At 38.5% G+C, this 22,791-nt stretch overlaps 1 protein-coding gene across 13 annotated transcripts in view, besides 1 other annotated feature; it reads right to left on the bottom strand.

Annotated features, from left to right (window-relative positions):
• Positions 1-13,245, bottom strand: part of HHLA2 (HHLA2 member of B7 family) — an 81,738-nt gene extending 68,493 nt beyond the window's left edge. For 10 of the 13 annotated variants that reach the window (XM_011512362.3, XM_005247080.4, NM_001282558.2 and 7 more), the window contains exon 1: positions 13,194-13,245. The gene's annotated coding sequence lies outside the window, so the exon portion shown is untranslated. Of the gene's footprint in view, positions 1-6,998; positions 7,309-10,738 lie in introns of those variants that run through there. The other 3 variants (XM_047447369.1, NM_007072.4, XM_024453326.2) reach the window with 3 other exon arrangements.
• Positions 22,483-22,532: a silencer, noted in NCBI's record as "silent region_14596". NCBI's record gives its function as "represses an Ori minimal core promoter by ATAC-STARR-seq in GM12878 lymphoblastoid cells {active_cell/tissue: GM12878}" and the evidence as "EXISTENCE:reporter gene assay evidence [ECO:0000049][PMID:35858748]".

Here is a 22,791-nt window from a genome sequence, read left to right as displayed (position 1 = left end):
GAAAAAATAGTAATTTTATAATGGAAAACCCTGACAGACATTACTTTAACCATGTGATTGAGATTAACATTATCAGTAAGTCATGTTGCTATTATGTATCCCTACATGTGATAAGGGCACTACACCTGTGTAGTACTCTGCCACAAAACCCACAACCCCAGTCTAATAATGAGAAAAACATAAGACAAAGTCAAATTGAAGATAGTCTACAAATTACCTGAGCATTATACCTCAAAACTGTCAAGGTCACAAAAAAACAAAAAAGGAGAAACTTGAAGTTTGGAGAAGACTAAGAAGACCTAACTGCTACCAGAGCCATCCTAAGCAAACAGAACAAAACAGGAGGAATCACATTACCTGATTTTAAATTATGCTACAGAGCTATAATAGTCAAAACAGTGTGGTACTTGCATAAAAACAGACACATAGACCAGTGGAACAGAATAGAAAACCCAGAAAAAAATCTACATATGTACAGTAAATTCATTTTCAACAAAGGTACCAAGAACATTCACTGGGGAAAAGATAGTCTCTTCAATATATGGTGCTTGCAAAACTGGATATCCATATGCAGAAGACTGAAACTAGAACCCTACCTCTTGCCATATACAAAAATCAAATAAAAGTGGATTAAAGACTTAAATCTAAGACCTCAAACCATGAAACGGTTACAAGAAACACTGGGGAAAATCTCTAGGACATTGGTCTGGGGAAAAATTTCTTGAGCAATACCCCACAAGCACAGGCAACCAAAGCAAAAATGGACAAATGGGATCACATCAAGTTAAAAAGCTTCCGCATAGCAAAGGAAACAATCAACAAAGTGAAGAGACAACCCACAGAATGGGAGAAAATATTTGCAAACTACCCCTCTGACAAGGGATTCATCACCAGACTATATAAGGAGCTCAAATAACTCTATAGGAAAAAATCTAATAATCCAATTTAAAAAAATGGGCAAAAGATTTGAATAGACATATCTCAGAAGATGTACAAATGGCAAACAGGCATACGAAAAGGTGCTCAACATCACTGATCAGAGAAATGCAAATCAAAACTATAATGAGATATCATCTCACCCCCGTTAAAATGGCTTCTATCCAAAAGACAGGCAATAACAAATGCTGGCAAGGATGTGGAGAAAAGGGAATGCTCATACCTTGTTGGTGGGAATCTAAATTAGTACAACAGTATGAAGAAAAGTTTGGAGGTTCCTAAAAAACTAAAAATTGAACTACTGTATGATCCAGCAATCCCACTGCTGGGTATATACCCAAGAGAAAGGAAATCAGTATATCAAAGAGATATTTGCACTGCTATGTTTGTTACAGCACTGCTCATAATAGCTAAGATTTGGAAGCAACGTAAGTGTCCATCAACAGATAAATGGATAAAAGAAAATGTGGTACATATATACAATGGAGTAACTATTCAGCCATAAAAAAGAATGAGATCCAATTAGTTGCAACGACATGGATGGAGCTGGAGATTATTATGTTAAGTGAAATAAGCCAGGCACAGAAAGACAAACGTCACATGTTCTCACTCGTTTGTTGGATCTAAAAATCAAAACCATTAAACTCATGGGCCTGGAGAGTAGGTTTGTTACCAGAGGCTGGGAAGGGTAGTGGTGGTTGCGGGGAAGGTGGGGATGGTTAATGGGTACAAAAAATAGTTAGAAAGAATCAATAAGACCTATTATGTGGTAGCACAACAGAGTGACTATAATCAATAACATAATTGCACATTTTAAAATAATTTTAAGAGTGTAATTGAATTATTTGTAATTCAAAGGACAAATGCTTAATAGGATGGATACCCCATTCTCCATGATGTCCTTATTTTACATTGCATGCATGTATTAAAACATTTCATGTATCTCATACATATATATACCTGTTATGTACCCACAAAAATTAAAATTGAAAATAAAAAAAAAGACCTAATTACTAAATGCATTGTGGTATTCTGGATTGGATCCTGAAACAGAAAAAGGAAGTTACTGGGAAAACTGGTGACCTTCAAATAGAATCTGTAGTTTAGTTAGTAGTATTGTACCATGATAATTTCTTAAGTTTTGACAAATGAACCATGTATATACAATGTTAACAAAGTGGAAGCTGGGCAAAAGTTAACAAGAACTCTTTTTTTTTTTTTTGAGACAGAGTTTCACTCTTATTGCCCAGACTGAAGTGCAGTGGCGTGATCTTGGCTGACTGCAACCTCCGTCTTCTTGTTTCAAGTGATTCTCCTGCCTCAGCCTCCCGAGTAGCTGGGATTACAGGCACCTGCCACCAGGCCTGGCTAATTTTTGTATTTTTAGTAGAGATGGGGTTTCACCATGTTGGCCAGGCTGGTCTCGAACTCCTTACCTCATGATCCACCCGCCTCGGCCTCCCAAATTACTGAGATTACAGCCGTGAGCCACCACGCCTGGCCAACAAGAACTCTTATAATATCTTCATAACTTTTCTGTAACTCTAAAATTATTCTAACATAAAAATGGTTATTACTCAGAACCAAATGAAAAAGCACAACATATACAAAGAGGTAGAATACAATAAAAGCAGTTTTAAGGAGAATTTAATCAAACATTTGTATTAAAAAGGAATAAAGGTAAGCAGATATTAAATGAGTATAAAATCTAAGTTAGAAAATTTTTTTTAAAAAGGGCTGGGCACAGTGGCTCACCTGAGGTCACCTGAGGTCAGGAGTTCAAGACCAGCCTGGCCAACGTGGTGAAACCCTGTCTTTACTAAAAACACAAAAGTTAGCCAGGCATGGTGGCGGATGCCTGTAATCCCAGATACTTGGGAGCCTGAGGCAGGAGAATTGCTTGAACCTGGGAGGTGGAGGTTACAGTGAGCCGAGATCGTGCCATTGCACTCCAGCCTGTGTGACAGAGCGAGACTCTGTCTCAAAAAAAGAAAAATTCAAAAAAGTAGCAGGAAAATATAACAGTGGAAATAAAATAGAAAAATATATATATATACAATGGAAAAGGTTGAAGTCAAAAATTGATTAACAAGACTACAAATTGACAATAGACAAACTTCTGGCAAAATGAAGTGAGAAAATGTAGTATGTTAAAAAAGTTGGCCTAACTACAGATAAAGCAGAGATGTGAAAAGATAATAGTATCAGCAACATTCTGCCAGTGGATTTAAAAACAGTTTTCTGAGAATCTTTCCTTAACTGACATACACACAAAATAGAAATCTTAAAGAGTCCTATAATTATTAAAGAAATTGGATAGCAGTTTAAAACCTTCACACACACGCACAGAGGGAGAGAGAGGGAGAGCTCGAGCAGGCCCAGATGGTTTTCCAGACAAATTCTACCAAACTTCAAGGACAGCATTATTTAAACCCAGGAAAAGACTGTATGAGGACAGAAGATAATCTATTTCACTCAGGAAAAGAGATATGAAAATCTGGACAAAATGTTGTAAACCAAATCTAACAATATTAAAACAGATAATGTATTATGACTGTGCTAATCACGTTCTACAAGAAGCAGACACTAAGATGGGACACGATGTTCAAGGGATGCTAGTGAGGAAAATTCCTGTGAAGGATAAAGGGGGAAAGCAGAAGTGAGGAGAACTTTCCAACTGTGATGTTAAAGGAGAGAGGAAGGGTGGAAATGGAGTGAAAGGAACGTCAGGCTTGCAGCAGTTCTAAGAAAGTTTTGTTAGATGACTGGGGAACCCTTGCACCAAAGTCATCCATTAGAGGATTCCCTTGTTAGCCTTGCCACTGTGCTCAATCACTGAGGGAATGAATAATCAGTGGAGCATCAGCTGAGATCAGTCATGGCCATGACACAAAGGTGGTGATGATCCAGACAGCAGCACCTGGGGCTGCAATCACCCACACTCCCCACAGCAGATGTGAGCCCACATTTTCATGGCTGCCACAGTGACCAAGTTGGGTTTTCTCCAGGAATCCAAAGAAGATTTACCATTAGAAGATTTATAAATGTGATTTATCACATGTATCAGACCAAAGTCTGTGTGCCTCAGATTTCCTTGGCTCAAATGTGTCACTGACCTTAACTGTCACTGTGAGGCTCTGTTGAGTCATTTGCCCTGAGAGTGCCAAGCCTTCCTCCTTGGCCACCACCCAGAGCTGAGCCAACCAGGCATGTACCTGGAGTGTCTGGTTCCTCCTGATACTTCTGGAATGGAATGGAACTCTATACAGCAGGGCATGGGACTCAGCACTCTGAGCTGCTATTAAAGGGACTAGATGATGACATTGGGATATATGGAACTGCTTATTTCCTGTGAGGTAAATTTTAACCAACAGGAACGACTAGATCTGGGCAGATGAATCCCCCCATCTTCTTTCCTCCCGTGGAGGACTTTGAGGCACGGTTTTCTACATTCCCATTCAGAAAAGTCCTTCACACTGATGAATGCTACGACCAAGAGAATTGCTGGGTCTTTCTGACTACTCGTGAAGCAGTAGCCAGCATGGTAATCTGTCCGTTTACAAAGCTGCCCATCTTCCCTTGCCTTGCTTCCGCTTTCCTTCTCTCTCACAGCCCTGAGTTTTTAACCTCCCAAATAAAGCATCAGCATTTTAATCCTTGCTCAGGTTCTGTTTTCTAGAAAACCCAGGCTAAAAGCATATTAAGCAGATTAGAGTTGAAAAACCAATCATCTGAATCCATGCAGAAAAAAATAGATAATGTACAAAGTAATTGCAAATTCCTCATTGATGAGTAAAAGGTTTTAATGTGACAAAGAATATGTCTGAAAACCCTATAAAAACAGACAGAATCTTCAATGGGGAAACATTAGAAATAGTCCCTGTAAAAATCAATTATAAGGCAAGGATGCAAAGTCAACCAGTAATCCTACTCAGGCAGCAAATATGACAACATATTGTGGTAATCATCAATAGTTTACTAATGTGACTATTTATACAGCTGCAGGCAGGGTTAAGTGAAACTAACAAGAATGATGCTGTACCCCCAAGACTAGCAACATGGACAAGTACCCTAACATCCTGGGCTGAAGGAGCAATTTACCAGATCTAGAGAGATTAGCGATCTGCAGAACAGACCATTAGTAGGGAGGTGAAGCCCACTCTCAGACACAGTAGATTTGTGGTGTGTTGCTGAAGCCCTGAAAGTCCTTTCTAATATATTTGTAGTGGATCGACTGGTTGTTCTTCAAAATTTCACATCCACCTAGAACCTCAGAATGGGAGCTTATTTGAAAATAGGTCTTTGTAGATGTAATTAAGGTGAAGACTGATATGAAATCATACTGGATTAGGCTGTGTCTTAAGTCCTATGAGAGGTATGAAAGGAGACACAGACGGTGGCAGAGACTGAACTTATATTGACACAAGACAAGGAACACCAGGAGTCGCCAGAAGTTGGCAGAACAAGGAAGGATTCTCCCCTAGAATCTTCAGAAGTGTGGGCCTGCCAACACCTTGATTTTGGACTTCTAGCCTTCAGAACTGAGAGGATATGTTTTTCTTAATTTAAGCCACCATATTTGTGGTAGTTTGTTAAAGGAGCCTGAGGAAAGTAACACAATGCCTAAATTTGGAGAGAAATCTTTCTTCTTTCTTTCTTGACTGGGAAGGAGTAGGAAACAAATGGGAACATAAACAATGGCGTTGACATGACAATGGGAGCATAGCTTATACAATGATACATTGAACAGAGAGAAGCCACTCAAAACGCCAGTGCATTCCCCTTTAGAACACTACACACGCGTATACACACCACCAACTAAATGATATAAACATTGGAATGTGATATTCAGTAGGTCCAAAAATGAGAGTCAGTTCAATTATCTAACAAAAAGTTTATTTCCACCCCTGCCAATAACTCAGCCTAAGCAAATGAGAGAACACAAAATACCCAACCACCAGAGTCACCTGCTGTGAGGTGGTGGCGATGGTGGTTGCAATAATGGATTATAGGTCTCAGACAAAATGAGAAAAAAAAATCAAGAGCCCATCACGTACCTACTATGTCAGAACTGATTTAATTACCTGGCCACTAACTGGGCAAAATAAAAAACTGACATGCTACATAATATACACTATAATCCAAAATAGGTGGGGTACAGGAATGGCATGCAAGTGACCAAAAAATAAAGCCCAACCTGGAATAAAACAGTTCAAAGAACAGAAAGGAAAACTTCACTTAAATTAGGTCTATACCCTCTAGAAAAAAATATACAAAATAATTATATGTTTTATATTAGAAATTAATGACCAGCATATGTACACAACAAAACAAGTACTCAAAAACAAGCTAAACAAAATGATAGGATGAGAAGAGGATTGTAGATATGAGGAAACAAAATATGGACTAAAATTTCTAGAGATAACTAATAAGAATGTAGAGCTAGCAAAGTACAGAAGTGATATCACTGAAAGCCAAAGTAGAGGAAGATTTGTGATATCTTCATGAATTCAGATGAAAGAGATGAATGCACTAGATGAGGTTGAGCTATAGAACATAAATTGAATGCAATTAGATGAGGTTACATTATAGCACATAAATGACACAGTATTAGGATAATTGATATTGGCCCCTGAAGTCAAGAACTCATCAAATCAAGGAGTTGATACATAAATACAATGTAAGAAAACTTTTCTAAAATGAAGACAGAATTGAATCTGTTGATCTAAAGTTTCCACATTGTAGGAAAAGTTGATACAGAAAACTCAGAACCAAGACATAACTGAATTAAGCAGTTGAATGCCAAATAAGGGGAAGAAATATTTTACTTTTTTGCCTAAACAAGCAACAAAGAGATGGGGCATGGGTGGAGAAGAAAAAGAAGGTGCTTTGACTTCTCCACAAAAGACAACAGAGCATACCGAGTCCAGGATTTTTTTTAAATTTCCTATTAGTGTGTGCTGTTTTCAAGGAGACAGCTAGCCCAGAACAGAAAAGGCAGCACCAGGAGGCATTTCTAGTAAATGCCCTCAAGGAACTTCTTTTCCCCTCTCCCTTCCTACCTCTCCTCCCTTGACTTCAGGACTGTATTGCATAATCTCTCCTGTGAGTTAGGCTTCCAACAGTAAAACTAGGAAAAGGCTCACTGTAACCTCCGCCTCCCGGGTTCAAGCGATTCTCCTGCCTCAGCCTCCTGAGTAGCTGGAAGGAGAGTAAAGTAGCATTTGCTAAAGTCCATGTAGCAAGGAAATACCAAGGAAGTGTTCCCAACTTGAATTGGGGAAAATGAAGTGTTCCCAACTTGAATTAGGGAAAACAAAATGAAACTGAAAACTAATTCAAAAAAGTCGATTACATGACTTGAAGAGAACTGAATGTCTTGTACTGTCAGAATCAAGGAATCCCCACACGGAATTTGAACCAATCAAAATGCAATTAGCAGGGGAAAATGTTGAGAGAGATGTTAGTTAATAAAATGTTTGTCTCAGCGTACTGTCAGGAGAATAAGGGGTAGGAGGTTGAACCCTGGATGGTAAAATATTTACAGTTTCCAGTAATCATGGTTTCCAGGTATCATGCTATTTCAGACCTGTTATCGAAAGACTAACCCTCCTACTACAACAGAACAGAAAATGAAATCAGGTATTTTCTCTTTCAAACTCATTTATATACCATTTTAAAGTCAGACTGTTTAATCTTCATGTTAATATTCATTTCCCTACTATAAAAATCAGATCTATGTAACTCACAAGTATACATTCTTGTGTGAATTAGATTACTAATATAAATAGCAACACAGAAATCAAATCTAGATTACTTGTCTTATTTCCTAAACTATAGCATATCTCAACTTTCTTCTAAAATGAGAATATCAACCCACTACCTCAGCTCAGTTATGTGGATTACCTTTTATATTGTACAGGCAGCACACAAACCACAGAGCTCATAGGCAATACTTGGTAAATGCGAGTCACTCGAGTCACTCGGATGAAACCAATTTAGAAGCAGAAGAGAAACAATAGAGGAGTTAAGGTAGCAAGCAGGAAGAAGTGAAAAGTAAAGCATGCTGCTTGGTTCCAAGAAGAAAGGAGGAGGCAAGATGACCTTGAGGCTGCTTGAGTTGAGGGAGAAAGGGGTAGAATCCTTATGAGAAAAGATTACAAGAATTTGCCAAGCAGATTAAAACTACCACGGGCCACCCTCAACTTCCAAAAGGGAAAGAGAAACAATGCAGTCTCTCAAATTAGCCTACGGAAGAAAATAGGAATATAAGAGACAAGGACAATTGAAATAATTGGGGGCAGGGGAGGAAAATTGTGGTGGGGTGGGGAGGAACTAAGGGGTAAGAATTGAACTGGAGTTACCTTAATAAAAAAGACTGTAAGAAGATAACTCTAGAAGAAATGCCTCAAGAACAACAAACGTGTTTGGAATCCTCAGAAACGTAAATAAAAGTGGGAAAATAGAACCTATACATACTTAGTATTCAGTCATCTATTTCTGCAGTCACGTCTCTGGAATTCACAGGGAAGACAAAAGTACAGTAAAAAGAAGAGGTAAAAAGCTTTTCAAAGACAGCTTGCAGAACTATGTCAGAGCATGCAACACTAAAAGCACAAGAGTGAACAGGAATTAGAAATGTAATCTACAAAGCACACTTAGGATATAATGTTTTGCATATAAAATAAAACGCTAAATTCAATAGGGAACATTGGTTTGGAGGGCCTAGGTCTCCTCACACTCAAATTTTAAGGAGACTAACTCCAAGATCAGAAGACATAAATTAGAAGAGATATTGTGCATGTATAATTCCTTCCTTTCCAGTGAAAGGAAGAGAAAATTTCAGTGAAAATGAGAGAAAGGAAATTCTCTCATTTCATTGTACTGCTATGAAATATTTCAGCTGTGTTAGAAGCTAAACGTAAATATTTGATGTCATTAGTCATTTTTGATTACTCTCAATTCCCAGATTAAAGAACATTTAGATAAATATGACAGCATTATTAAAATAAAGTGTTTGGGAATTTAGATTTCTGTTACAAGCAATAAGAGCAACATCCTGGAACTGGCTTAGACAACAAAGGGAATCTTCTGAGAAACATAACTGAGGCTTCTAGGAGCCTCTGGCCAGCTCTACCCAGGACGTATGTCACTAGGTTTCACGTCTCTGCTTTGCCTCCTGTGGGTTTACCTTATACACAACCTAGCTTCCCTCGTGATAATGAAGTGGCTGTAGATGTTTCAGGCCTGACCTCACACACCGCTAAACCCAGACGAAAAGAACTGGAGCTTCACCAGCGCTTCTTATTAAGGAGAGAAGCTTATTTCCTGGAAGCCCCAGCAAACCATGCTTTTCCTATTATTGGCTCACCTGGTTTATATTCCTAATCTACCCATCACTCTGGCTTTCTCTACCCCCTAACTGGTTTCGTCTAAGAGCACTATTTTAATAAATCACTTGCACCTGAATCTTTGACTCATCAACTCCTTGTGGTGAAATCCTTTCTATGAAACAAAGGCATACAGTGAAACCCCATGGCAGGTTGTCCTTGAATTCCCTGGGCTGTTTCTTCCCACCCTGCCTCCTGTCTCTGCAAAAGCTGGTACTTCATGCTGTGAACAGGACGCTTGCTTACTCATCTTCTCACACACTGTCTCTCCCAGGTTCTGTGCTGTTTCCCCTCGACCCACCCAGCCTTCCCCTTCTGTTGGTCCTTTCAAACCTCTTCCTTGTGTACTCTGAAAACATCATTACCCAATAAACTGCCTGTTACCCAAAACCTGCTCAGATTCCTGCTGCTTTCCCTCCTCAGATGGAACTCAATTCTTTCCCCAAAGCGCCATTTCCCTATCTCCTTTTTCTTAAGAAGAGTTGCTCATTTTCCCGTCTTCTCGCCACACTGGAATCTGAAAATAAAGCTGGGACTCTCGTCATCCAACTGTGCTCTTTCCAAGCCATCGCTCCTGTACCTTTAGGGATTCTGTATCTCACTGTGAGAATCTAAGTTTATTCTAGAGTGACCCTTGCTCCTACACGAAATGGTACCTAGCGAATGTCAATAGTATTTGAGCTGGATAGGGCATATAAGGTTGAGTTAGAGTATAATTTGTACCTTTATGGGTCTGAAATATTTAAGAAATGCTTGCCACTTGGGTCATCTGAGTTTTCTATGTCCCTTCCTCCTCTCTTATCAGCAAATCTAAAACTCTAGGAAGAAAAAGTCAAGAACTCCAAAACTAGTTACTTTTACTCCACTCAGCGTAGCATTTCCATAGATTCCTGCACTTATCACCCAGAACTTTCTGTTCCACCCCTGAATTTGCAACTCAGAACATACTACTCTGACGGAATTCTTCATAATCTGACTACTCCTCACCTTTCTCTCCTCCCACCACACTAACAAGATTTCTAAGCTCTGACTCCATCAATTTCACCCTTTTCACTTATTATCTATAATAAATATGTATTATATTTATATAACATTTATATATTTATGTATTATAATAGTTATATGATTATATATATATATTTTTTCTGGGTCTTTTACAAAAGTGATTTAACTTTTTGAGTCTTTTTTTAAACTAAGTTTATTTTCCTTGTTGCCAAGTTGATATAACTACAGAGCTACTAGCTTTGCATGAATGTAATTAGATTAGGAATATAATTTGTCAATTTGGAAATAGAAATATTATCAAAGTTGGTCATAGTAACATTAATTTTGTGTAATTGACAGGATATTGTAGTGATTGCAGTTAAGGAATATAGAGTATGGGACAAAAAGAAAAGGTAAAAGGTTTTCACCTTCAGAAGGTGTTCTTGGTGATGTCTCTAATCTAGGTTAAATTAGATAGAAAGGATCTCATTTCTCGAAGGTGGTGTCTAGGACAGACCTGGATAGCCATGGAGAAGACATCCCACCTGAAACAGAAGTATTAAAGCAAGGAAGCTGCAAGTGTACATTTGCCTATCTCAGGTTTGTATCTTAATCTCTTATCACTTGGGAATTAGTGGTTTGAACTCTAAATGGTAAGCAGCAATGTGCAATGACAGACTCTAAGATTCCAAGATCGAGGACTAAGGAAAAACAAGCCCCCATTCGTTACTCAATTTTAAAATGAGCCTCTGAGGGGACATTTAACAGTATTTACAGAGAGAAAAAATCTGAATCTGCAGTTATTATAACAAGCTGCACCTGCTAACTGCATTCTAGTCTCCAACAGAAAAAGATGCAATACAGTACATTATCTCTGAGACCTGCTGGAAATGAATATCCAGAGAAAAGCAAGCTTCTAAGGGTGAAGCCTATGCTGAAGAAAGAGAAATATGCATTTTACTGAAGATGGTGCAGTAAAAGGGGCCTGCAAATATATACTGGAAACTTTAGTTGGGGCTAAATTAGAAGGATTTTGAACATATAAACACTACAACTGAATACCAAGGAAAGGTGTGTACATGTTATAAAGATAGTATTGTGTTAGAAAGGAGAACCTAAAGTTATAATAAGCCAGAATAGCAGGATTTTTCTGGTGGCATATGTTTATAGCCCCAGTTAAACGGAATGGACTTGGATCCTCATTTTCTTTTCTAGGAGAGTCAGGTCAGAGTCCTAGATAGGGAATACCTAATAGCTAGTCTCATCTGACAGAAGAATAAGGAGGAAGGAATTTCTCTTGAATAGGCAATTGGTCTTCCCAGAAATTAAGTCAGGAAGCAACTGGCTCTTGGATAGCCCCTGGGTCGCTGCTATGCAGATACTTGGAAAAGGGGTATTCATTCCTACTAGGCAGGGGAAAAGTTTGCATGCCTGCAGTCAGAAGTCAGTTAGACAGACATTCAAAGCCTCAAAGAGAATGCTGGTTATGTAACTCAGAACAAACTCTCCACTCCTAGGCAAGTCTCTGGGAATTTAGAGTTGACATGACAACCTCAGGAGGAAAAACACCTTGTTTAATGCTGTACTACGTGACCTACACCGGTCACTGACCAGAGCAAGGAGAAGCCACCCAGAATCACTGGTTAATGATCAAAATATTAAGCTATGGTCTATTTTAAGCACCTGGAGGAAAACTCAACACAGGAATTGGTTTCTTTCCCAGCTCAGGCCAACTGATAGAACATGCTGGTGGGCCACACGCCAAAAGTAGGCAGAGCCTTCATTCATGGATTTATTTAAGAGCCACCAAACTTTCAGGCTACTCAATATGATTATATAGGAAATCATTTGTCTTTTACATCTATATTCTGAAATAATAATATTTATTAAACACTTTCTACATACCAGGCACTTTGCTAAGCACTTTAATAAATTTCATTTAATCTTCACAGCAATACTAGTCTACCCCCATTTTACAGATTAGGAAACTGGCTCTGAGAAAAATATACAACTGGTTAATGATGAAGCAGGTAAATGCACCAAGGATTACTTGACTCTAGAGACTATGATCTTGACCACTACACTTTATTGCATCTTTTGATTAAAATATGCTTATAATGGGATATGACACCAATTTGCCATTCTGGACAGAAATTATTTCCTCCAAGTTTCTAGGAAATGGGAAGCTCAAGTTTGTTTTGTCAGGTACCAGTAACACAAAAAAACCTAAATTACCTGTTCATATTTTTTTCTATTATCCAAAGTCCCAAACAATAGAAACCCAATGAGAATTGAATCTTAACTTTTTGAATCTTGTTTTAGTTATTAAAAAATGACATAAACTTAATGATTCTTCCCTGAGACAGTGGAAATATCTAGGAGACTTCTAAGTTTCTTGTATTAGAATTCAAAGATCACGATTCTTCTGCTAGATAACCACTACTACGGTCCTTTTGTTTCCACCACAGAATGGAACGCAGTGCATCTTGGAGCAGCTAATAAAACTCTGTAGTGTAACTAGATGAACAATTACAAGTAAGAATACACTCTTAGAGATTTTTTTAAAGTTCGCAGATAATTTTCAAAACAAACATTGCTCATCCCTCTTTCACTGTCTTACCAGAATGTTAGGTATTTTCCTCATTTTTGCTAAGTTCTTTTATTTGAAATATATCAGCATGTTCCTTCAAGACAACCTTTTACTAAGTATTTGTTTGGTGCATATGCACAATACATAGTATATGCACTAAATCAATTTAAAAGATCAGTCACTAATTTTTTCCTAACGGGAAAATAAAGTGTCAACTAAAAACCACCCATATTTGATTTATTCATGCCCACTTTTAAGTTCTAGGTATAAACAACTTAGAAAGAAATCCTTACCTTACTTAGAAATTCATACCGTCTAGTCAAATGCTAAGTAGTCCATAAGAATAAACATTGAATTCAGCTATGAGTTTCTCAGAGAGTAAAGTCCAAGGTACGTTTGATTTGCTACCTATGACAGACCAAGGAAATCACATCATCACCAAGGACTCCCTCCTTCAAACTAAGCCCCACCCAGATCTGAGTCAGTACAGATCTGAAAAGTCCAGGAATTAGAAGATGCAGTTTCAGACAACATATTGAAACAGCTAAGCATTGAGCTGTGGGAGCAGTGGACTCTGGTTTCCATGCTATGGTGTCAGCTTCACCATCAACATGATACAGGCAACCTCCTGAGGTTGGACTGCCTGTGACCTGTCTAGCTTGCTGCAGAGTTGTAAAGAAAATTGTGTAGCTGGTTGCAGTGGGTGCCAATAGTTCTGTGAGAAAGAACCATAACCCTACACAAAGTTCATCTGCACCTACAATTCCCATTACAGTTCTGGTCGCTAGAACACCCAAGCTTAAACTCAACTTCAGAGAAATAAAGACCTCTCTGAATTCCACATGGAAAGTTGGGCAGTGCCCAGCCTCTATGCTGTCATATCATTTAATCTCTCTCTCCCTCAGTGTCACATGCATGGCATGCATGCACATACAACAGATGCTAAGAGTCATGCTTTACTCACTATTGTATCCCAAACAACTACCACTTACTTACTAGCACATAGTAGCTGGTCAATATCTGTTTGCTGAGTGCATGGGAGCAAAAGTTACAAAGTGAACAAAAATTACCTTAGGAGGACAATAAACAGGACCCTTCTGTCTGGAACAAAGGATGCCATCCAAGCCTTGGCACAGCACACAAATCCCCTGATCATATAATCATAGGGCCCTGTCTAGCTTTATAGCCTTTCGGCATTACTCACCACATCAACGTTAACCTCCTGCCACACATGCACACTCAGGGGAGAGGGCAAAGTACATTTGGGGAACTCCCCCTCCTCTTCCCCATCTCTTCCTTGACTTCCTTCTTCTCTAGTCAGAGTCATCCATAGTGAGCCTTCTGCTGCCCACTGGAAACTGGGTTGAAAGCGCCAGGGCTCTTCCTAGAATCCCCAAAGTCACCCACGCCAACGTTTTCTTTTTTGTTTGTTTTTGTTTTTCGTTTTTTTTTTTTTTTTTTTTTTTGAGACAGAGTCTCTTTCTGTCGCCCAGGCTGGAGTGCAGTGGCACGATCTCGGCTAACTGCAAGCTCTGTCTCCCAGGTTCACGCCATTCTCCTGCCTCAGCCTCCCGAGTAGCTGGGACTTTCAACCCAGTTTCCAGTGGGCAGCAGAAGGCTCACTATGGATGACTCTGACTAGAGAAGAAGGAAGTCAAGGAAGAGATGGGGAAGAGGAGGGGGAGTTCCCCAAATGTACCTTGCCCTCTCCCCTGAGTGTGCATGTGTGGCAGGAGGTTAAAGTTGATGTGGTCAGTAATGTCCAAAGGCTATAAAGCTAGACAGGGCCCTATGATTATATGATCAGGGGATTTGTGTGCTGTGCCAAAGGCGCCCGCCACCACGCCTGGCTAATTTTTTTGTATTTTTAGTAGAGATAGGGTTTTGCTGGGGTTCCTGGTTTAGCCAGGATGGTCTCAATCTCCTAACCTCGTGATCCGCCCGCCTCGGCCTCCCAAAGTGCTGGGATTACAGGTGTGAGCCACCGCGCCCGGCCGCCAACTTTTATCATTAATAAGATCTATTATGAAATGAAATCAAAATCAAACTGGGACTTAAAAGATGCAGGCAATCCCTGCTTTCACCTCTGAATCTCCATGGCCATGTAGTTAATGGTACATCACACCACTGTAATATTAGTTTAGGGAAATAGCAGAGCTCCTAAAGCATACACATGAGGAGAGCAGACTCTCACGGAATTTGAAAATAGAAGAATTACATATTTTTTGAAGATTTTTGAAGTTTTAGGAAGAAATGCCGTATGCATACAAACATACCTGTTATGCAGAGATTGTTCAAGCTGAAGGTAAAAATAGAATCACGGTTTTAAATAATATCAATGGCTGAGGAAGGAAAGAACAATTTCTCTGAGATTTATGTCACAGAGAAAGTGGCTATGATATGTATGCCATTATTGAAGACTAGATCAACAGTTTTAGGTTACAAACCTTTCCCTTGCAACATATTCTTCATTTCAGGAAGGGGTACCTGAAAGGAAGTAGGATGAACCATTAGGACCCTATATTAGGGGAACCTGTAGGGCCACTGCTTGCAAGAGCTCAACTGTTAGGCTTTGGGATCTGTTACCATTTCAACACCACTTTTGGTTCTCTTCTGCAAAGTGCCTCCACGATGTCTTCAAGTGACTGGGAGAAGAAACGGCATATGAAATATGGTTAATCCTGATTATATCTATGCACATGTACCTACACTAAGGCTCAGGGGAGAATTTAATGTTGGCATTGAACATTTATTAAGTTGGCAAATGTTCTGAGGAAGTAAAAAGTATAACTGTCATGTAACTTGAGGATGTGAGAGCAGCTACCGGTTGCATCCTCAGATCAAATAGGGCTGAAATTAGTCATCCAACTGGAGTCTTTCAGTTGTCGAAATACTGCAGAAGAAAGTGAATTTAAACTCTAAAGCTGAGAGGTGGACAGACATGGCTAAAATGTAGATCTTAAATTGGTCTGACAGGGAGATAAGGAATTACGGTCCTCATATATTAGGCATTTACTGAATCAGTTCAATCAATATTTATTTCCAGCAAAAAAGTCTCCTAATATTTCAGCTATTAAAAACCTTGAGGTGTTAAACTCACATATTCATTTTCCAAGATGCTAAGTGTGGTGCCTGTCATCATTTGTGCATGTCATGCCTTCCTGGCCCATTGTTGCTGTGAAAGGACATAAAGTAATTTAGGCCTAGGCATTAAAGTGGAATTGGAAGATCAAGAGAGGACTGCACTCATACCTGCTAAATGTTAAGCCACAGAAGGTTCCAACAGACTTGGATAACACCTTAAGTCAGAATCCACTGGACTTCAACATCTCTCAGCTGGGAGTACCCTAATTAACTAACAATTCAGAACAGCTCTGCAATTTAGGATTTCTGTCCAGCCAGTGAATTGCCCCTCAAAACAACTTTTTCAAGAAATCTCCTATTAAAAACCTGAACTTGCCTTAAAGGACACTATTTAGTGTTGCCCTAATTCAGTGTACCTGAATTGCAATTCTTTTTTTCCCAAATATACTCTACTTTCTTTGGCATCTGTGTTGATTTTTTTCTTAGTTAATGTAACAACAGAACTGCCACATCAGTGCAGGGACTTCCTGAGGCCTTCTAGATGCTCTCTGTGATCTATTCTTAGTTCTCTGTTTTCCTGGTATTGCTTCATATTCAGGTCTAGAATAGCATCAACCACCTTCAGTTTTGCAGTGAGTTAGCTTTTAAATTGCTTCAAAGTGCTTTCACAACTCTCTTAATGATCATTCTGGGAAACAGCCAGGGTAAGTGATCCTCCTGCTTCATTTAGGATGAAGAAACAGGTGCTAAGAGTGAACAAATGATACACCTAATGAATAAGTGTCAAAGTTGGGCATTACATTAAACATCTGCCATACTCCTCTCACATCCCCTTGGCTCACCTTTTTGTCCTGGACATTGTTGAGGCAACAGGCTCTACACAGGTGCCCTTACCAGCACTTCATCCCAGCTGTACTATGCGTCTGTCTTGCTTGTTATCCCAGGGATTCTCTGCTTTCTAGTGAGACTCCTAAAACAGAGAAAATAAAAACCCTCCAGTGTTAATTTTAGCCTATGGAGGTCAGGCTGTTCCCCTGTTTTCTCTCTGGTTGACAATCCTGAAGTGTCTTCTATGTGGTTCCTTAAAGCATCCCCACCAAGACTAAGCCCCAGTTACCCACAGGCATAGCCAGCTGAACAGCACACTCTTGGATTAGCTCTCCCTCCTTCCTGTTTTACTCTTCTCAAGGGCCCCTCCCCTGTTCCCTGGATTCACTTCCCAAAATAAAATACTTGCTTTTCTCTTGCAAATTTAAGTTCCTTATAGATGGTGGATATTAGACCTTTGTCAGATTCATAGTTTGCAAATATTTTCTCCTATTCTGCAGGTTGTTTACTCTGTTGATAGTCTCTTTTGCTGTACAGAAGCTCTTAAGTTTAATTAGATCCTGCTTGTCAATTTTTGCTTTTGTTGCAATTGTTTTTGGTGTCTTTGTCATGAAACCTTGCCCATTCCTATGGCAGGATGGCATTGCCTAGGTTGTCTTCCAAGGTTTTTATAGTTTTGGGTTTTACATTTAAGTCTTTAATCCATCTTGAGCTGATTTTTGTATATAATGTAAGGAAGGGATCCATTTTCAAGCTTCTGCATATGGCTAGCCAGTTATCCTAGCACAATATATTGAATAGGGAGTGTTTTCCCCATTGCTTGTTTTTGTCAGCTTTGCTGAAGATCATAGGTGTGTGGCCTTATTTCTGGGCTCTCTATTCTGCTCCACTTGTCTATGTGTCTGTTTTTGTACCAATACCGTGCTGTTTTGGTTACTGTAGCCTTGTAGTATAGTTTGAAGTCAGGTAATGTGATGCCTCCAGCTTTGTTCTTTTTGCTTAGGATTGCCTTGGGTATACAGGCTCTTTTGTGGTTCTACATGAATTTTAAAATAGTTCTTTCTAGTTCTCTGAAGAATGTCACTGGTAGTTTGATAGAAATAGCACTGAATCTGTAAATTGCTTTGGGCAGTATGACCATTTTAATGATATTGATTCTTTCTATCCATGAGCATGAGATGTTTTTCCATTTGTTTGTATTTTTTATTTCTTTGAGCAGTGTTTTGTAATTCTCATTGTAGAGATCTTTCACCTCCCTGATTAGCTGTACTTTTGGATATTTTATTCTTTTTTGGCAGTTGCGAATGGGATTGCCTTCCTGATTTGGCTCTCAGCTTGGCTGTTGTTGGTGTATAGGAATGCCAGTGATTTTTGTACATTGATTTTGTATCTTGAAACTGCTGAAGTTGTTTATCAGCTGAAGGAGCTTTTGGGCTGAGACAATGGGGTTTTCTAGATATAGAATAATGTCATCTGCAAACAGATAGTTTGAGTTCCTCTTTTCCTATTTGGAGGCCCTTTATTTCTTTCTCTTGACTAATTGCTCTGGCTAGGACTTCCAATACTATGTTGAATAGGAGTGGTGAGAGAGGGCATACTTGTCTGGTGCCAGTTTTTAAGAGGAATGCTTCCAGCTTTTGCCCATTCAGTATAATGTTGGCTGTGGGTTTGTCATAAATGGCTCTTATTATTTTGAGATATGTTCCTTCAATACCTAGTTTATTGAGAGTTTTTAACATGAAGGGATGTGGGATGTTTAATTTTATGGAAAGCTTTTTCTACATCTGTTGAGATAATCATGTTTTTTATTCTTTAGTTCTGTTTATATGATGAATCACATTTATTGATTTTTGTATGTTGAGCCAACCTTGCATCCTGGAGATGAAACCTATTTGATCATGGTGGATTAGCTTTTTGATGTGCTGCTGGATTCGGTTTATAAGTATTTTGTTGAGGATTTTTGCATCAATGTTCATCAAGGATATTTGCCTGAAGTTTCCTTTTTTTTGTTGTGTCTCTGCCTGGGTTTAGTATCAGGATAATGCTGGCCTCATAGAGTGAGGTGGGGAGGAGTCCTCAAAGAGCCACAAACAGAACTACCATTTGACCCAGCAATCCCATTACTGGGTACATACAGAGGAATATAAATCATTCTACCATAAAGACACAGGCACACAAATGTATATTGCAGCACTATTCATAATAGCAAAGACTTGGAATCAACCTAAGTGCCTATCAATGACAGCTTGGATAAAGAAAATGTGGTAATATACATAATGGAATACTATGCAGCTATTAAAATGGAAGGAGATCACATCTTTTGTGGGAACATGGATAGAGTTGGAGGCCATTATCCCTAGCAAACTAACTTAGGAACAGAAAACCAAATACCACATGTTCTCACTTACAAGTAGGAGCTAAATGATGAGAACTCATGAACGCAAAGAAGGGAAAAACAGACACTGGGGTCTACTTGAGAGTGGAGGGTGGGAGGAGGGAGAGGAACAGAAAAAATAACTATGGGGTACTAGGCTTAATACCTGGGTGATGAGATAATCTGTACAACAAACCCCCATGACATGAGTTCACCGATAAAACAATCCTGCACATGTACTCCTGAACCTAAAATAAAAGTTAAAAATAAAGAAAACAATTTGAAAGGGTTATATTAAAGGACATTTTCTCTGAATTAAAAAAAAGTACTTGCATGAAAGACTTATTTCAGGCTCTGCTTGGGAAAATCTCAGTTGAAACAGGCTACAAACACATTCTTTCGATTTTTCTGGTTCATTCTTCTCATTACCCTATTAATCACCAGACCTGAAATTCAATACTCATTTTTTTTTAATTTCCAATCACAGACAAAGGCTATAAGATTTAATATTTGAAAACCAAGTATAATCTTTTTATGCTCTGTATCACTTGCACACATTAGGTGTTTAATAACAAGAATTGTGATGACCTTTAAGGTAGCAATTGTTTAAGAAGAAGGATGCATATATAAATATAAGGAAAAACACGTAAGTTGCTATTCAACAGATGGTTTGAGAGAGCTGGAAGTAACTATCTTTACTCAAAGACATTTCTAGGGTAGGTCTATAAAGCTTTCTGCCTGGCTTCCTTTCATACTATGTTTTCTAATAAGATGTAAAATAAGCCATAAGATTATTCTTATGGCTTATTTTAGATATATTGATGGCTTATTTCAAACAGCCTCACTGAGGAGAGAAAACAGAATGACGTCTTTATAGCTTTGAGTTCTAAAATAGCAATAATATCAGTATTTGCCAGGTGTAATTATATATGCATATATGTATTAAGGGAGTTTTGTCCTTCAATAATTTTATAAGAATGAAACATGGCCATTTATATTTATTTCTGGTACAATAAGGATATTGAGTAAAAAATAAATGAAAACTCTTGATGAAGTACAATCTTGCTACCAGCATACGAGCACAAGATCAAGAAAAACCAACTGCTGAATATCAAACAATTCTTGATTTGGAAAGGACAGATCTAGACCTAAATAGTAGTCCAAAGGGAGCAATTCTATTCAGTGTATGCAGACTATCAGATCAGTTGGCAACACTGCTTCTAATACAAGAGCCAACAAGTATCACTTTATAATATTTGACAGATACCAGGAATCAGCAGCCTGGGTAAACATTGCTGTGCTTGCTTGTCACTAAAGATTGAGAGGCAATGTGTTATGTTATAAATATGAAGAAAGGAAACTAAGACCCAGTTTCTGGATCTTAGATATAGTAACTAAAATATTTAACACTGTGGAGCAACCGATTGAGTTTATTCCATGACTTGCCTAAAGAACACATTAACAATTTGTATAGATTAGCCAAGTAATCCATTTCCCTGAAAGAATAGAGATACCTATGTCAGTTACTATTCTATAATCTGAACACCAGAATTATCCACATGATTAATAATGATAAAATTATTAAATAACATTTTAATTATAGTTTGTTGGAACAGATTACTTCAGTTGAAAAAATTATAAAGTGAAAGCTGTTTACATAATTGCTTTTAATCCTTTAGGAAAATATATTTTTATTTAAATAAATATATATAAATATATATAATTATATATAAATATGTTTTAAAAATGTTTAAAAATATATTTAAATTAAATATATTTATATGTGTTTCTATAAGCCCATCTCTTGACTAAATATATTTAATCATGCACACACACACACACATTTCATTTTTAAAAATTCCTCTTGAAGCTCTGTGCAATTTACTCTTTGGTCAGAGAGTGAAATACCTTTGTTTCTATAAGCCCATCCCTTGACTAAATATATTTAATCATGCACACACACACACACATTTCATTTTTAAAAATTCCTCTTGAAGCTCTGTGCAATTTACTCTTTGGTCAGAGAGTGAAATACCTCTGTTCCTATAAGCCCATCCCTTGACTTCACATTTTACTGGAATGTAAGTTCTCATAGGTATATTATCATGGCTTTTCCTAGCATCCAATTGTATGAAAATTTGATTGTTGTTTACATGGCCATCTCGGTAAAGGCAATGTTATGAAAGTACTCTAATCAATTTGCTTGACATTCTATATGCTGACTTGGCAATAATCACTGGCAGTATACATATTCAGAAAAGAGCGAGGAGTGCCGGGCATGGTGGCTGACGCCTCTAATCCCAGCACTTTGGGAGGCCAAGGAGGGCAGATCACGAGGTCAGGAGTTCGAGACCAGCCTGGCCAGCATGGTGAAACCCCATTTCTACTAAAAATACAAAAATTCACTGGGCATGGTGGCATGCGCCTGTAGTCCCAGCTACTTGGGAGGCTGAGGCAGGAGAATCACTTGAGCCTGGGAGGCGAAGGTTGCAGTGAGCCAAGATCGTGCCACTGCACTCCAGCCTGGGTGACAGAGTGAGACTCCATCTCAAAAAAAAAAAAAAAAAAGAAGAAAAGAGAAGAAAAAAGAAAAAGAGCCAGGAGTTCATAACAAAGAGAACAACAATGACTGAAGAATAGTAGGTGCTATAAATGGCCGTGGCTGGTGGTCACATTTTAGTGGTGGAGACAACCAACAGGATTCAACAGGATCCAACAGGACCAACAGCAGAAAAATCATTCTTTCAATCCCTTGATAAGGCTAAGGTATCAACTAGTGGCAGACAGGGTGGACTTTATTGGATATGCATTATGAGGTCTTCATTTTGTAGGAAATTACATACTTGCTCTGGAAACAGGGCAATTATGTGAAATGTTAATGAATACTTTCAAACAAAGGAAATGTCAAAATAGCAAAGTGGGATTGAATTTTATGAGGAGGTTAATTTCTAAAGTCAGCATATGAAGCAAAACATTCATGAAGTCAAAATTACCCCTGAAAATGCCTTATGAAAATCCCTTACCACATAAGGAACAGAGAGAAGCTTCTTGAGTCTGACAGGAGATTTTTATTTTATTTTTAAAGCATGGAAACAATTACTATTTCTTTAGTTCTGATTATTACTTTTTCAGTTGCAGACCCAATGTAGGTGGCTTACATTTAGGGGAAATTTGGTGCCAATGACATCTTAAAAGCAATATGTTCCTAAAGACTACAAAATGGTTGCACTCAAAATTATGTAGTATGACTTTTGGAAAGTCTCAGAACACCATGTGGCATCAATTACCTTTAAGATTGCTAAGGCCTTTTCACTTACAGATGAAAGCAACAGCACTGAGGTCACTCCTTATGCAAAGCTCTGGGTCTGTGAGATAGGGTCATTTCTCTGCGGAAGGAGGCAGTCCAGAAGTAATGAACCACAAGAAAGAAAATTAGAAAACCCCATAGAATGCTACATTTTGACCCATCACTGCTAAGACTCTATGTCAAACTCCTGAGTCTGAATTCATAGTTTGGATAACTGATAGCCTCACAATTAGTTGCTCTGACACAGGACCGAGTCAAAAGTTTGGGCCAGTTTGATCATAAACTTTAGCAACAGACA

The sequence above is a fragment of the Homo sapiens genome, chromosome 3 (genome assembly GCF_000001405.40).
Source record: "Homo sapiens chromosome 3, GRCh38.p14 Primary Assembly".
NCBI classification, from domain to species: domain Eukaryota; kingdom Metazoa; phylum Chordata; class Mammalia; order Primates; family Hominidae; genus Homo; species Homo sapiens.
Note: the sequence above shows the minus strand (reverse complement) of the source record. Positions and strands in the feature narration are given on the sequence as shown.